At 46.3% G+C, this 17,198-nt stretch overlaps 1 protein-coding gene across 22 annotated transcripts in view, besides 1 other annotated feature; it reads left to right on the top strand.

The window, feature by feature from the left end:
• BCAR3 (BCAR3 adaptor protein, NSP family member) overlaps positions 1-17,198 on the top strand; it is a 286,411-nt gene that overhangs the window by 79,474 nt on the left and 189,739 nt on the right. For 8 of the 22 annotated variants that reach the window (NR_178003.1, NR_171551.1, NR_178010.1 and 5 more), the window contains one exon: positions 14,332-15,754. The exons of 12 other annotated variants lie outside the window; for them this stretch is intronic. The gene's annotated coding sequence lies outside the window, so the exon portion shown is untranslated. Of the gene's footprint in view, positions 1-1,322; positions 3,440-14,331; positions 15,755-17,198 lie in introns of those variants that run through there. 2 more of the 22 variants (NR_178022.1, NR_178021.1) reach the window with 2 other exon arrangements.
• Positions 14,291-14,585: an enhancer, noted in NCBI's record as "tiled region #10321; HepG2 Activating DNase matched - State 5:Enh". NCBI's record gives its function as "activates a minimal TATA promoter and a strong SV40 promoter by Sharpr-MPRA in HepG2 cells {active_cell/tissue: HepG2}" and the evidence as "EXISTENCE:reporter gene assay evidence [ECO:0000049][PMID:27701403]".

Below are 17,198 nucleotides of genomic sequence, written 5' to 3'. Positions count from 1 at the left end.
AAATTAAATCTCTCATCGCTGCTGTCTTTTTAATTAAACTTTTTTCCCCTTCATATTTTGTTTGTGCATTCTCCCTCTGGGTGATCACATTGCACTCCCAGCTCCGGTTTTAAGTTCTCCTAGTTACCAAGATTCAGCACATCCCCCTCCTTCAAAGGGTGGGTGATGGTGTTTTTCCTGGCATCCTCCCACAGACACTTTTCCAGCTCAGCTGAGCGGCTAGTGCCTGTCTGATTTGCCCAAATGGGTGGTGCAGGTTTCTACCACACACTTTGAACTCAAACCCATCAGGGCACAATTTTCTTTCTTCACTTATCTCAACCTTGGGCATGGATTCTACTGTTGATTGCTTCGTATTTATATACCTGCTTTTTGTTGGGCTGTTGTACACACACACACACACACACAAACACACACACATTCACTCAGTCTTTTGAGCAGAGCTTCTGCCAGCCTTCCTCCTTGGCACTTGGCTTCTCCAGCACAACGTCTCTCTGCAAATGGGGTCATTCGTTGCTGCTCTGGCCATTGACTCTAATCCGACAGCCCTGCACATAGCCACTTGCTTGCCATGTAGTCCCAGCACGTCACATTGATTTTCACCAAGTGTACCTCGGCAAAGCCTGAAGACAGGCACCAGCCTTGCTATGTTCCTGTCTTTTTCAAGGCCTAGACTAAGGCAGAGCACAAACCTCAGAACTCTTTGATAGATGATGTTTTCCACTACTAGAAATATGTGCTTTTGTAACCCCTATCTAGTTTCAGAAGATCTGCCTAATTGAAATGTTGTCTTGGATGTTATATTTATTTTTCAAAATAGCAAAGTAAATTAAACTGTTATTTTCACTTAACCCATTTTCTGTTTGCCCCGAGAATACTCTTGCTTCTAATCCTAATGGAACATCATATATATTTCTGTTACATTAGGATTAGAGACAAGTTCTGCTTAGAAATAACTCCAAAAATAGTTTATATATTTTATTTTCATACCGAAAATCAGATTTCCTTCAGCCTCAAAGAGCATATTTATGTAAAATTGCTGGCAGTGAGCTGCACTTTTATTTTCTAAACAGGAAATGGGTTAATTTTCAAAAGGTGTAATACATTTATGTGGTTTGAAACACAAAAAGTATAAACTTTTTTTTTTTTTTTTTGAGACAGAGTCTCACTCTGTTACACAGGCTGGAGTGCAGTGGTGTGATCACGGCTCACTGCAGCCTCAACTTCCCAGGCTCAAGTGATCCTCCCACCTCAGTCTCCCAAGTAACTGAGACTACAGGCACATGACACCATACCTGGCTAATTTTTGTATTTTTTTGTAGAGATGGAATTTCAACATGTTGCCCAGACTGGTCTGGAACTCCTGTGCTCAAGTGATTCGCCTGCCTCGGCCTCCGAAAGTGCTGGGATTATAGGCATGAGCCACCCTACCCAGCCAAAAAGTATAAATACTCTTAGACAGCAAAAATGCTTTCTCCCAGTCTTGTTCCCTTGTTCTCAGTTCCCACCCTGCCTGGATAACTACTGTTCTTGGTTTCTTGTGTTAAAGATGGATCTTGATAGTCTCGTACCAGATTCAAAAATCAGTCAACTACTTCAAAAACAATGACATGCTGGCTACTTAAATAGAAAAGGAGGCTTTTTTTTTACTCTGTCACACATTTGCTGCCTAGGATTGAATTACCTGCCCTGCTCCCCACCCTCAGAGCTATATAAATTCTGTCCTAAACTTTTTCTGTTTCTGACAGTCTCTACAACATAGCCTTTGTTGTACTATGAATTTTTATCTCAGCCATCTTTGTCTAAGTTTCTTTGTTTCGATGTCTTGAAGCTTAAAGCAGATTCTATTACTTGGAAGCTTAGTGAATTGGCCCCAGTTAATCAGATAAGCACTAAATAAATTCCCTGGAAACCTCCAACAGATAGACTTTAAAAGATCCAGCACAATCGGTTTATCCTGACAAGATTACAGCTGATACGGTGAAGATGGAGGAGACTCTGGTTTTCTGAATAACTTGAAGCGGACTCTAAGAAAGAGGAAGGCATCAGGAATGTGGACGGGCAGCCGTGCTCAGGCTCAGGCTGGATGTGTGCTGTGGCCAGCAGCGGCTCTGGACGGCAGTCAGCAAACCAGGCAACAAGAACCCAGCATTCCTGCAGTCAGAAAGAAAATTCATCTGGGAAGAGGGACCTTTAGAGAGCTCTGGCTGCCCACTTCCTGGGCACTCTTGCTTCTCAGTCTGGAGGAAGGACCCTGGTAGCTCAGTCATGGTCAGCACCATCTCCAAGACTGCCCAGCACAGTCCTCCAACACTTTACCCCAAACACATGCACACTTAGTGTTACCTAATGCATTTGTCCCAAGTCATCACTTCTCTACAAAGAGCTTTTAATTCACTGGCTCAGGTGGCTCTGGATGAGTTAGGAGGGGTCACCAATGTGGTTTCCTCTGAGGAAACTCTCTCCACAGGGTTGTTCTGTAAACTGACTATCCCACACATCTCTGTGACCTGGTACTGCATTTAAAGATGTTGGTCAAACTCATGGAAGCAGAGTAGCATGGTGGTTGCCAGCGATTGGCAGAAGGGGAAAGGGGAGATGATGGTCAAAGGGTACAAAGTTTCCGTTACACAAGACAAATAAGTTCTGGAGATCTACTATACACCATAGTGCCTGTAGCTTTGAATGCTATATTATATACTTAAAATTTGCAGGCCAGGAGCGGTGGCTTATGCCTGTAATCTCAGCACTTAGGGAGGCCGAGGTGGGTGGATCACAAGGTCAGGAGTTTGAGACCAGCCCAGTCAATATGGTGAAACCCCATCTCTACTAAAAATACAAAAATTAGCCGGGCATGGTGGTGGGCGCCTATAGTCCCAGCTACTCAGGAGGCTGAGGCAGGAGAATCGCTTGAACCTGGGAGGCGGAGGTTGCAGTGAGCCAAGATTGTGCCACTGCACTCCAGCCTGTGTGACAGCAAGACTCTCTCTAAAAAAAAAAAAAAATTGCTAAGAAGGTAGACCTTATGTTAAGTGTTCTTACCACACACACAAAAATAATGATAATAATAATAAAGGGAGTGGGAGGAAACTTTGAGAGGTGATGGATGGCCTTGGTGAATGGTGTCGATGGTTTCACAGGTGGTATCTACAGAGTCATCAGGTTGTATACATTAACTATGTCCAGTTTTCTACCTGTCAATCATATCTCAGTAGAGTAGTTTAAAGAAAAGAGATGCTGACTGGTGATCCTAGAGATGGCCCCAGGTCCCACAAGATTCAGAATAACCAAGACCAGGGAAATGTGCTGTAGTCTCAGTAGGTAGTATTAATATTAACATTTGATTGTGAGGCTGTGAAAACTGACCATTCTTATATGGTGAGTGTGGTTTCTATGGTAACACCACATTAAATATTTATTAAGAAAATGTTATTCTCAAGCCACACCTAGTAGGAGTGGTTATTGTACACAGCACTGGAGACACACAAAGGGAAAGCAAGTACTTTTTTTGGGTAAACCACTTGGTCCTTAATTAGGAGTTGGGAGGAAAATACAGGGTCCTAGCTATGAGCTATGCCCACCTTTAGCCACCTCCCCTAGGAGTAGCCCCCGGGATGTCCACTGAAGCTCATCCTGACCTTGGGGATATCCTCTGACCTCTGAGCAGGGGAGCTCAATCCTTAGGGCTGCCTGGCGTAAGAGCGAGGTCCCACTTGAACAGGAGATGCAAACATGTGTGCTACAGTGGGGCGGACACCTTCCCCTAGGACTGTGGATGTGGCCTGGGGTAGACCGGGCAAGAGGAAACCTCTGGACCCAGACTCCCACTTAGGAGGCAGAAGTGCTCAATCAGGGGCATATACAGAGCCCAAAGGAGAGCTAGATACCAAAATTGAAGAGAGGAAGCATTCTGACCAGGTCCCCCACACTGAAGAACCCAGGTAGGTGTGGAAGCCCGGGTGAGAGGCAAGGACTCTGGGCACCCTAGGCACTGAGGAGAGAGGCAGGAGGGGCAGGCTTGGTGTCATGGGGAGCCAGGTCTCCTGGTAGCGATGTGGGGATGGGCCTGAGCAGAGGCACATAGGTGGAAGACTGTGGCAGCAATTCAGGAAGAGAGTGGTGATAGCCGCAGCAGAGATGTGACTGTGAGAGGCAGGAGATGGAGGCCACAGATATCACAAGGGTAGACTCTGTAGGGCTTGGTGCCTGGGCTGGGGTGGGAGAGGGGAGGGAGGTCTCAGATCATGCCCATGTTCCTAGCTTGGCTGATGCGATGAATGGCGGTGTCAGAGACTGGGACATGGAGGAAGGGTTGGGTCTATGGAGAAAGAGGATGAAGGAGGCCTAAGAATGGCTGAATGGGAGGGGCCTATGGGACATCCATATTCCAGAAACATCATCACAGGAAGGAATGAGAAGAGATGGGCCCCCTGGAAGTGTGGGAGGATTGAGAAGCGCAGACACACAGACCCAGGCAGCAGCGTGGGGTGTTCTGGTGGAGGAGGGCAGGGGCTGTGATGAGTCAAATCTGCTGTGGCAAGCAGGAGACAGGGGCCTGTCTGGAAATGACAGCAGCCTTCAGTTCTGCCTTAAGATTTCCAGTGGTGGACAAGAAATAAATGTGGGCTTTCAACAGCACTTTCCGGATCTATGTGTGATCAGGTGGAGGGGTGTGTGAGGTCCAAGGTAGTCCATCCTTGACAAGTGGAGTCATGGAGGGTGACAGAGCTGGATCCCATCAGTGGTGTGCTGGAGCCAGCTCCTGCCAGCTCAGCTCACAGACTGATTGTGCGCATCTCTTCCCAACTCTGCATTCAGTGACATCATATTCATAGCTTGAAATCGGCCATAGTGGTAGCATTTACACCATGGAGGTTGGCAAATGCTGCAAGTCAGGCCTTTATGTTCCAGAAAGCCAATGTTAAATATTTACTGGCACACCAGTGGGGTGGAAGAGGGAGCAAAGCTGCATGTGGGCAAGTGAAAATGGATGAGTCTGGAGAGAGAGGTGGGCAGGAGCCAGAAAAATGAGCTAAGAAGACTGGAGAACAACTGAGAAGCAGTATAATTACTGTGCATTGCTCGAGAGTGAGGAATTTAAAGCCTGGAGGCTTGAGTTCAAATTCTGGCTCTGTCACTAGTTGTATGACCTTAGCCAGGTTACTTAACCTTTCTTGGCCTCAGTGTTCTCCTTTATGAAATGGGAGAAATAATGCCTACTTCATGAGGTTATTGTGAGATTTCAACACATTTTGCATGTAAGCACTTAGAACAGAGCCTAGCATGCAGTAGGCATTCAACAGTAAGTGTTAGCAGGCTGGCTGCAATGCTCATGTCTATAATCCCAGCACTTTGGGAGGCCGAGGCAGGAGGATCACGTGAGGCAAGCAGTTCAAGACCAGCCTGGGCAACATGGTGAGACCCCAACTCTAAAAAACATTTAAAAATTAGCCATGTGTGGTGACGTGCACCTGTAATCCTAGCTACTCTGGAGGCTGAGGTGGGAGGATTGCCTGAGCCTGGGAGTTTGAGGTTACAGTGAGCTGTGTTCATGCTACCACACTTGTAACAAGCAAGACCCTGTCTCAAAAAACAAAACAAAATAGAAAAACAGTGTTGGCTATTGTAGAAGAGTTTATGTAGATCATGACATGATTGTATTTGTCTTTTGGAATGAACCCCACAGTGTAGAGAATAGATTGAAAGGGGCAAGAGAGAAAGCAGGAAGAACAGGCAAGGAGTGGTCATTTGACAAGAGATGGGGGAGCCTAAGCTAAGGTGGAGAGAAGAGAGGAGATTTGAAGGAGCTTGAGGTGGAATGGAGGGGACTGGGAGATTAATTGACTATGATTCAGGAGGGAGAGAGAGAGAGTGGGTGAGGCAACTTAGAAGAGGCTTTGGGAAAGAGGTTGGGATCAGGCTGGGGTTTGAAGGGCCATCTTTGCAGAGAAGAGGGAGGAGGAAGCAATATGGGAGGAGAACAAGGGTTTTTCAGAGAGTATTGGGGTTGGGGATGGAATATGTGGTAGGACGTGACAATGATTGGGTTCGGGGTGAAGGGTGTCATTTCAGCAGAGAAGCATGAGTCCGTAGCACGTCAGGTCCCTCTGTGGCCTGGCCTGCCTTTGCCTGGCTCTGGGTCTTAGCCAGGTGTGGCCATCAGCACATGTCCTCCTGCTGCCCTTGCTAACTTGTCTGCATCCACTGCTACTGCCACTGGGTGTACACGAGCTCTCAGCAGAATGGTTCTGAGTTCTGACCCAATTCTATGGTCACCATGATGGGGAGCCTTGCTTGACAGTTTTGTCTTTCTGTATGTGGATGGTGCACAGAGCAGAGCTGGGGACAGTGACCCTTCAGGGGTCTGTTAGCATGAGTTGATGTGCATGGAGGCTTTCATTTCTTAGCAAAGGAGGTGGAAAGATCTCTTGCTTGTTAACTGTGCATCATGAAAGTGAGAGAAGGACAATGGAGGAGTGAGATGTGTCTGTCTTCAGCCTGGTCCCTGGTGCTGCTGTCTTCAGCCCCTATGGAGAGAGAGCTTGAAGGAAAAAGTTTAAAGAGCTATTTTCATGAGGTACTTTGTGATACTTAGAGCACATATTCTGCTTCTGTGGGACCCTGGTGACAAGGTGTGGCACAGAGTCAGGGAGAAAACCATGATCCCAACTCTTGCAGGAAGTCAGCACTGTGGGCCTGCATGCTGGTGCTCTTATCATAAACCCTGAGAGCCCAGACAGCAGTATGGTACCCTCAAGTGGCTTCTTGGGTGAGGATATCAATGAGAGAAAACCGGAAGGGGACAGGAATAGCAGGGAGGATGCTATTGATGTAATCAATGGACTGGCTCATGGGCATGTAGGCAAGTGGGGTAAGAACACGATCTTTGTGTTATTGAATTTCTTTGGAATTAAACAGGATCCACAGGAAGGTGGCCTGGGGATGTTCAGATTACCCATGAAAGTGAAACATTAGAAGACCACATTCATGCTGGCTTGGCTGGCTTGAGCTCGGGGGTTTGCCGTGGCTGCCCCAGCTGGGATGGCTGAGGGCACACAGTAACTGCAGGGCTAGGTGCTCTCAAGGTAATTCATCTGTCTCCAAGCCTTTCTGGGTCACCACTTACGCCTGCTCTCATGGTGAAAACAAAGAAAAGACTTCAACCAAAGACCAGCCTGTGGTTTCAGCAGGTCCAGGGTGGTCCTTGCCTGAGCTGGAGTGTCCTTTGGTGATAGGATGGCACCTACTAAGGTGTTAGGTATTAATCTCAGTGGGGAAGGGGTGGGTGAATTTCAGAAGCAGGGTTGGAGCTTCAGCCTCAGGAGGCCAGACCTCCTCTCTGAGCAGTTCTACACTGGTTGTGTTCACTGGTTCCAACTTTTTAAAGACAAAACTGGCTCAGGACGTTGGGGTCAGCAGAAATAGGTGGAAACTGCTTTGGAGATTTAGTGTTCTAGGGAGTGGAGGTTCCACACCCCCGTCATCTCAGCCTTGTGTCTCTACAGGGGGCAGACTCCTGCCACCAGCTCTGTCCCAGCAGGATTCTACTCCACATGCCTAAAATCATCTCCTTGACCCTAAGTTCCTGCTTTCCATATTTGTGTTAATGGCCCCAGCATAAAACCACAGTAGTTATCATTTCTGAGTGTCCTACATGCTGTCCCATCTCACTTCTTCCAACAGGAGTGGCTTATATTTCCTTTTAGTTCCCACTGTCTACCATGGTCCATGTGGACCATCAGTCACATGCCTTGCTCCTCTCTGGCCTCAAAGGTGCCATGAAATGGAAATCTGGCCAATCAGAGACCTCTATTCCTTGGGCCACAGTGATAGGTCCAGGGATGAACTCCTGACCAAGGCCTGGCCAATCAGAGTCTCTCCTGGGACCTTTCTACCAGAGGTCATGGGAAAGCTCACCTATGTTTGCTGGGAGATGAGTCTGGGGCTGCCTAGAACACTTGCCTGCCCACAGAAGGAGCCTGGCCATGAGTGGAGCTGTGCCTGCAGCAAGAAGTTTCCTTACACTTCCTAGTGACATGGCTAATACATTCCTTCTTCTTTTTTTTTTTAAGCTAATTTATATAGGTTTTTACCATTTGCAACTAAATCTAATGCAACCACAACAGCATCCAAATTTGATTTCTCAAATTTATCTTTATTTTATTAGTCTCCATAATGTCTCTCATATCTGTCCCTTCCTTTCCATCCTAACTGGAGTGAGTAAAGCACCTGCTACCATGCTTCATCATGCTTTATACCTGGAAGACACCCTCCTGCTCCCCACTTCTCATTGAGTCTCACCCGAAGTCAGACCTTTATCGCCTTATAAGCTGGATTATTGCTGAGTCCCCACTGAAAATCATGAAAGATCAAAGTCAAATACCTTAATTCCTAGTGCAAGACTTCCTTTGATTCTAATCTTTCTTTTCAACCCTCCCTTCCCCTATTTGTCTCTTAGATGACCTCTCTGAATGGTTAGCCCGAAAACTCCAGAAATGCCTTTTTTTTTTCCTGTGGGCCACATTTATTCATTCATTCACCATGGCCTTTTGTATGCCAGGCACTTGCTGGGTCTCTGCCTGGAACACCTGCTTTTTTATCTGAATCCTGTTCCTGCTTTCACACCTAGTTTACGTAAGTTACCCTTCCTCCAGCAAGCTTTCCCTGACCTACTGACCCACTCACTGGATAGGTCCAGTTTATCCCTGGACCTTTCACTGTGGCCCAAGGAATGGAGATCTCTGATTGACCATATTTCCATTTCATGCCACCTTTGAGACCAGCGAGGGGCAAGGCATGTGGCTGATGGTCCACGTGGACCATGGTAGACAGTGGGACCTAAAAGGAAAAATGAGCCACTGGTCTGTTCCAGCCCTGGACCTCAGCAGCACCTCCTGTGTGGCTTTCTGGTGTGCTCATGGCAGCTCATCAGGCTATCATTTTCTCTTTCTTATGTGTATTATCTTCTTCCAAATAACGCAAGGGCAGGTGTGTTCCTTCTCTCCCCTGAATCATTTAGTGTGGTGCTTGACAGGTACCTAGTGGGCTTTCCAGCAACATTTGTCATTTGGTTATTTAAATGTTTGATTGATGCAGTTGGCATGAAAATGAAGAAAAAACAGGAAACTTAAAAAGCAAAAATTGCTTGTGAGGCCCCAATGGTACTCTCTGCTCCACACACTCCTTCCCCTAGCACCCATAGAGGCCGCTTGGTAACACAGCCAGGTGCCACCTCTGGTGCTGTCTGGCAGACAGCCTTCCAGCCAAGAACTACTCCTGCCCCTCCTGAATGCCCAGCTCAGTGTGGTGCTGCAGTTACCCTTGGCCAGTGTTACTTAGGAAATTAGCCGGACACTGGAGGGTTAAAAACCTCTCTCTTTTTTGTGAAGGGTAGAGAAAGAGAGATCTTTCCTGTCTATACTATGCTTAGCTTTCGGCGCCTTCCTGTTATCATAATGGTTTTTTGTTGGTGGCAAAAGCCTTTTCAGACCAGTGAGGCAATATTTCACCCTTGGCCACACTTTAAACATTGTTGTCAGGGGCCGGCTAACTGTGCCGCAGGATGTGGGTTGCATCAGCCTGTGATGTATGCTTGTGAGGTTAGTTTGGGGATAATGACTGGCTGGGGTTATACCTAATTTTGCACAATAGTGTTGGGAGAGGGATAACAGGGTGCTAAGAGTTATACACTGAATGCTCTTGGCTAGGAAATGCAGGCCCAGAACCTTCCACCATTCCCTGGCATCTGGCCAACCAGCCCCCTGATGGCCTGAGAAAGGTTCACAGTGCAGACAGCTGGACTTTTCTCCTATTCGGTTCTCTAACAGCCTCTCCTCAGTTGCCACCCACTGTCCCTCCTCCCAAATGCAATAGAAAAATAAAGATAGGTGGCAGTGATACCCAGGGGGTGAACACAGAGCAGAGAACCACACTGGACCTGATAAAGTGACTTGGTGAACGCTGATAGGCAGACATCACTCCTAGCTTTGGTCAGTATTTCTCAGTTCCCAAGAACATTTCTCAGCTATTCTCCTCACCCAGTGCCTATGAGTCTGCTATGCTTTAAAAATGACATACACTAGGAAGTGCAAAGCAGAGTAAGGTTGTAATCACCTTTGAGAATCTAGTGAAAGTGTCATAGATTTAGACCATCATAGAACTGGCTCCCGATTAGGGGTGTTTTCCAGACCAACTCTTTGTCTGCACTGGAACTCTCCTGTTAGGCTTAAGCTGGTCGTCTGGGCTCCATCTACAAGATGGCAGCCAGTTCTTCTTCACACTGGGTCTGCCCTGCAGCTTCCAGCTGACACTTGTTCTTTTCCAGCCACTGGCAGGGCTCCCTGGAAACTCTTCTTTGTCCTCCCCTGGCCCTGTATCCTGATGGATCAGGCCAAGGCGTTGACCTAGAGCAGTGCAGACCAGAGGCCGCAGCTTTATACTCCTCTTTCTCTGGTCTCTGACAGGTACAAATGCTAGGCAGGCTGCCCTCATCTCCCTTATGAACCAAGACACTAGTCCTCCTGACTTCGGGAGTGCTGCCTGCTGATGGGTCGGTCCTTCCCTGGGAGTTGCCTTCAGCCAGTGGGAGCTGCCTCCCAAAAGTTACATGCCCCAGGCACAAGTGGACGATGCAGCAGTACCAAGGGCTCCTCCTTTCCCTCCATTCAAGATATCTCTGAAGGGCCAACTTGGCTTCAGAGCTCCCCGTGAGATCAGTTGAGGCCTCTAGTACGATTTTGCACTACTCAACCTTGTGTCCGAGCCTCCTTTCTCTCCCTCATGGGTATTGTTCCCAAGAGCACATTTGCATGTAAATTTCCTTCTCAAAGTCTGTTTCCCAGACAACCTGACCCATGGCACTTAGAAATAATGGGCAAGAGGCTGCCAGCACAGAGGCCAGCATGTGCATTCTGCAGGCTACTCTCACACCAGCAAGGAAGCTGTGTGGTGGGAGAAGCAATGCCTGGAGACTGTACACCCAAGAGATTGGGAGGGTGATGAATGAATGACCCAGAGGAGGAAGAGTTGACTCTGGAGGATGCCTGCCTAGCCCTCTGCAACCCATGCAGGATTGCCTTTTCCCAATTGAAGGAAGAGGAGAAAAAATGAAGTGCAGAGGAGTCGTGATGCTCGCTGAAGGGTCAACTATTTATACAACAGTTAACCCAACACATATTGCAAAATGATCTTACTCCTTGTTGCCTAGGCAAACTTCCCTCCCAGTCATTGCTTCTCTCCCTTGAAAGTTGGCCTCGGAATTGGTGCAGCGAGACTTCCCAGCAGCTGTCTCAGTGGAGTGAGATGTGAACGCAAAGTGGACATCAGAGAAAAGAGAAAATGGGGGGAGCTGCTGTCTGCTCCACTCCTCTGTGGGAGAAGAGTGGTGTGGAGGAGAGAGGTCATCAGGTAGGCCTGGCCCAACTTCTTTGGCCGGGCTTCAGCCCCCAGGCCCCATGATTGTGTGCCCCTTTTGGAAGACCACTCCTCACTATAACAGAAGACAGGAGTAAAGGTCTTCCTCTTTGCACCTCAACATGGATTCCAGAGGCTAAAACACACTAACCTGCCCATCAGACCCAGAACAGACCCCAACCGGCAGAGACTTTCCTACTGTGGGAGCTGAACTGGAACTGCAGCTAGTCAGGGGACATGCCTGCAGGTCCTCCCCACCCCTCCCTAACTCCAAAGAGGCCAGTCCAGCTCAGCATCTCTGCCTTTTCCATTCCAGGCAACTCTAGAAGCCTAGAGTGTAAATTTTGTAAGGCCAGGCACCCCCACATTTGGGGATAACCATTACATAGCACTTGGCACAGCAGCCATAGGAATGCCAGGGACTAGTCATCAAAGCCATGAGACTCTCTGAGTGCTGTTGATGCCAAAAATCACTCTAACCCTTCCCAGAGGCTGCACCTGGGCATTCCCTGGAGTGTTCCTTATGGAGCATGGACAGTGGGCACAGACACACTTCTTTCCAAATGGAATATTGCCTCTTAGGAACTAACCAAGGCCCTTTCAGTTTCTGTTAAGGTTTTTGTTCAAAAGTAATTTTTAAAAATGTTTTATAACCATTTTAATTGGAATTGGAAAATTAGCACATATACTGACTTGCTTTATCAGCTTTTCCCCCACCTTTTAAGAGATCCCAGAGAATAGGAGAAATGAAATGCAAAATTTACAAGAACTTGTATAACATAAAGTGGTGCTGGGCTCTTCGGTTAGTCACCAGGGTGGTTCCTGGCATGAAGCACCAGCCATTCGTGTCCCATGCAAAGGAGGGTTCTGGACGACTTCAGGGTGGTGGGGTGTTGATTATTAGACCAGGGAGTGGTATTACAGAGATAGAATGGCTTGGGAAGGGGTTAAGAGTGAACACTCCAATAACAGCCTTTGGGTGACCCTGGGCCAACCATTGTTTTCTAAGAGAAGGGGAACCCAAGCCACCAAGGGCACTAACACACAAGGGGGAAAGAAAACAATTCTAGACCACTGCATGCAATTAAAGAGCAGCTTAATTTGGTTCTTTTAGGTTATAGATCACTCTCAAATCCTGCTTATCAGTTCTGTGCATTTTGTCTGTGCTATTGGCAGTTCTCCACAATTCACTGAAATTGTCAGAGGCTCTAGACAGGAGAGCCACAAAGCCCATGAAACTGGGGACGTATTCTCCCCACTCTTACTTGTCAAGAGCAGGTGAACTTCAGTAGCAAGCTGGCTCCTGCTGTGGGAATTTCCACTCTGTTTGGCTTGAGCCCTGGAGTCAGTGTGACTCCAGATAACCTCGAGATGGGACACAACAAAAAATTTAAATGATACAAAAGTCCCTGTCATTAGATATTATCTTAGATAATTTTAAGTGATTAAATGTTTCCTCCCTTTTGCATGCACGCACACACATGCACACGCACACGTACAACACACACATACCTCTTCACTCTATATCTTTTTATATATAGTCGTGTGTAGCTTAATGATGGGGATACATTTGGAAAAATGCATTATTAGGTGATTTTATCATTGTGCAAACATCATAAAGTGCACTTACACAAACCTAGATGGTATAACCTGCTGCATACCTCTGCTATAGACTATAGCCTATTGTTCCTAGGCTACAAACCTTTACAGCATGTTACTGTACTGAATACTGTAGGCAACTGCATCAGAATGCTAAGTATTTGTGTATCTAAACATGTCTGAACATAGAAAAGATACAGTAGAGCTACAATATAAAGATTTAAAATGGTACACCTGTATAGGGCACTTACCATGAATGGAGCTTGCAGGACTGGAAGTTGTTCTGGGTGAGTCAGTGAGTGAGTGGTGAGTGAATGTGAAGGCCTAGGACATTACTGTGCACTACTGAGGACTTTATAAACACTGTACACTCAGGCTACACTAAATTTATTTTAAAACTTTATTTTTCTTTCTTCAATAATACATTAACTTTTTAACTTTATAAATGTTTTATTTTTTTAACTTTTTTGATTCTTTCATAACACAACACACAAACATGTTATACAGCTATGCAAAAATATTTTCTTTATATTCATATTTGTTAAGCTTTTTTCTATTTTTAAAATTTTTTACTTAATATTTTTAGTTTTTAAGTTTTTTGTTTTGTTAAAAACTAAGACACAAGCACACACGATTAGCCTCAGCCTAGGCAGGGTCAGGATGATCAGCATCACTGTGTTTCACCTCCACATCTTGTCCCACTGGAAGGTCTTCAGGGGCAACATACATGGAGCTGTCCTCTCCTAGGATAACAGTACCTTCTTCTGGAATACCTCCTGAAGCAACTGCCTGAGGCTGTTTTACAGTTAACTTTTTTTTAGTAGGGGTACACTCTAAAATAACATAAAATTATAGTATAATAAACACATAAACAAGTATCATAGTCATTTATTATCATCAATTATGGAGTACTCTACATAATTGTATGTGCTAGGCTTCTCTATGACTGGCAGTGCAATATGTTTGTTTACACCAGCATCACCACAAACATGTGAGGAATGCACTGCACTGCGATGTTACCACAGCTATGACATCACTAGACAACAGGAATTTTTCAGCTCCATTATAATCTTATGGGACCACTGTCATATATGTGAGTCATCATTGACTGTATATATTTCTGATTCTTCATCTGCACAATGGAGATAAAAAAGTAAGTCTGGCTCAATTTCACCTCTGAGATATGTTTTGTGGGTCAAACCATATTATGCAAGCTCTCCAAAAAGATGAAGTGCTGTAGAAATGGAAGGTATTTCCACTAAAAACCATAATTTCATCATTTGTTATCTGATTACTCTCTCTCTTGCCCTTTGTGTTCAGGGAACAATGGAGGCCTGCGATTTGGAGTTAAACTCTCAGTGATCTCTGTGTTGACAACACCAAAGCTAGAGGAATCCAGTAGGATGTGGGCATGGTTTTCCCGGAAGGCTGACTGAGCAGTTCTGCAAATGTTTGCAAGTACAGGGCAGAATTTCATCCAGCCTCAGAACCTTGAGCCAAGACTCAGCATCAGCAAAGCCAAAAGTTTCATTTCTTCGACTGTGGGAGTGCTAGTCCCAACCTTTAGATGGCCATTCAGTTTTAAGTTCAATAAGCATTTTGATTGAGAAATACTTTGCTGAGGAGTGAAAAGTCCTTGGCTTTGAAAGACGAATGATGAGCAGTTCAGTGGCCCATGTCACAGTCCAGGCACCTGCCAAAGGTGACTCCCTGGGAGGAGCATCTTAGTCACAGAGCCAGTGCCTGCTGTAGGTGTGCAGAAGGGTGCATGTGTGTGTGTGTGTGTGTGTGTGTATGTGTACGTGTACATGTGTGTTGGGGGAAGGGAGCAAGGTTGTGGGAGCATTTCTTATCTGCTCTTCTCTGCAAGATTTCCTGTGATTTAAGTCACATTAAAGTACCCATAAGCCCGTAATGCAAAAGAACCCCAAAACCAGCCCAGCAGCCAACCATGGCAGCAAGTAGATGCTCTGGTCTTTAGATAGTCAGAAATGACACTTCTGGGCTCTCAGGCAGTCAGTGGGTTGAGCTCCCCATTAAAGTCCCCCTGCCAAGTCTGGAATAGTCCTAGTCCCGTGTGTGTGTGTGTGTGTGTGTGTGTGTGTGTGTGTGTGTGTGTGTGTACCCGCGTGCATATGCGCGCATGCAGTGCAGGGTCTGCATACCTAAAGCAGATGAAATTCTGCAGAATGGCTGCCTCACTAGACAAAGTCAAGAAGACAGACCGAGGAGAGAGAGGTTGATGTGTCTCCACTACCAAGAGATAGGCTTCTCTAAGCCAGCGAGACATCCCATCCAACAATATGAAACTGGCCACATTTCCTTGAGATGTCAACGTTGAAAGTGTAGCTGCATCTTTATTCTTCACTGTTATGAAGTTGGGTGCAACACAGCTTGAGTGGAATACAAAAACACCGCTTGGAAACACATGATCTGGATTTGAATCGCAGCTGTATCATTCACCTGCTATAGACTTTGAGCAAGACCTCTCTGAGGTTATTTCTTCACAGTAGGTAGAGACAAGACTTACTTCAAAGGTTCTTAAAGTTGAACCTGAGTCAATGAATGCAAAAGTGTTCACATTTAAACTGTAATTTTAAAGCACAATACAAGTAAATAGCATTAATATCATTAGAGAGATTAACTTAGCACTGTGCGTCACATGATTCATCACGGGCCATCTGTGAGATATCAAATAGAGAGGTGAAGCCTGCAGTAATAAAAAATACTGCCATAGCTATAACCAGTGTACTCTTCTCTTCCTAAACAAACAACAAACAAATCTTGCCAGAGTCAAAAGGCAACAGTTTCGACTGCTTTTTCTGTTTTCTTGAAAGACAGAAGTCAAGCTTAGTCCCTTCTCTATGAGAAATGGTGAAGGAGGCACTCTCTTTGTTAGAGCTATGGAGTGTGGCCATGTGTGGATCAAGCCAACGTCCTGCCTTCACTGGGCTCACAGACAACACTCACAAATGTCACAGAGCTCAGATCACCCCTCTCCAACACTTTTTCCTTCATCAAAGAAAGTGCGTCCAAATGCAAATGAGAGCAATGATACCGTATGCATACCCATGAATCCACTCTTTGCTCATTCTTATTTTGAATGCACTCCTATTTCAAACCTTTGGTACTTCCTATTATTGATAACAAATTACTTCACAACCGATTGACATGTGATGGCACAACTGAAAGTCAAGATTGAGGACAAATGTCTGCAGCCGTGGGTGGGGGCAGGAATTTGTTTTATGCATCTTAGTATTTCCAATGCCCAGGTAGATGCTCATTGCTGACTTGAATTGGCCCTAGCCTGGGAAGGAGAAACCTCACAGCTCCCTACCCATGAGCTCTGGGGCCATTCCTAATGCAGAGGGGCTAGTTGGGTAGTCATAGCCCTTTTAGGAGCATCACAGTCATGACAAGAGACCAGAAATGGCCTCTACAGGAGATTTCAATGTAGGACAAACCAGCTCCCTTCACACTCTGTGGTAGTGACAGTTTTAAGTGGAGGAGTAAGTGCCCAGCTTCTTTCATGCCTGCCTTTGAAGAGGGTGGCCTCTTGCCAGCAAGAAGTGTCTGAGGTTTGGGTGGGTGAGAGCTGGATGAAATGAGTGTGTAGGTGGTACTGCCCAGGGAATAAATGTGAAAAGCCAAAGCAAACCTTCAAGTGCACAGCAAAGAGATGCATTCTCAGCTGTGTTCCTAAAGACATTCAAAATCACATGCGTCTATCTGGGTCATGTGGGCGGATCTGTAACCCAGGGCATCCACAGATACCAGAGCCAAAGCTGGCATGGCTGTTCCCCGCCAGGCTGGGGAGGCCTTGCCAGGGCAGCAGCCCCAGCCACACGCCCTTGTGTTGGAGCAGTCTGGAGGCTGCCAGCCTGTGGGGCTGGCTGAGAGCACCAGCATGTGGGGAATCTTCTAGATAATTTGTCACAAGTGTGCTAATGGCTCTGGGGGCCAAGAGGAAAGGGGTGATACAGCATGTTTGGAGACTGGAATGTGTAAATGAGTTGCTCTGTGAATTATTTGATATTTTCTCCCTGCAGTTTAGAAGAAAACTAGGTCCGATGGGCTTGGCCAAGGTTTATGAGGCAAAGCAGGGCTTCTGAGGTGAAGTTACATGGCTGTTTGAGCCCGAGGCATGGCAGGATTGCTGCCATAGTCTGGAAACCTCTCTGGTGATA

This window comes from Homo sapiens, chromosome 1, assembly GCF_000001405.40.
Source record: "Homo sapiens chromosome 1, GRCh38.p14 Primary Assembly".
NCBI lineage: Eukaryota > Metazoa > Chordata > Mammalia > Primates > Hominidae > Homo > Homo sapiens.
This window is presented reverse-complemented; position numbering and strand designations above follow the sequence as displayed.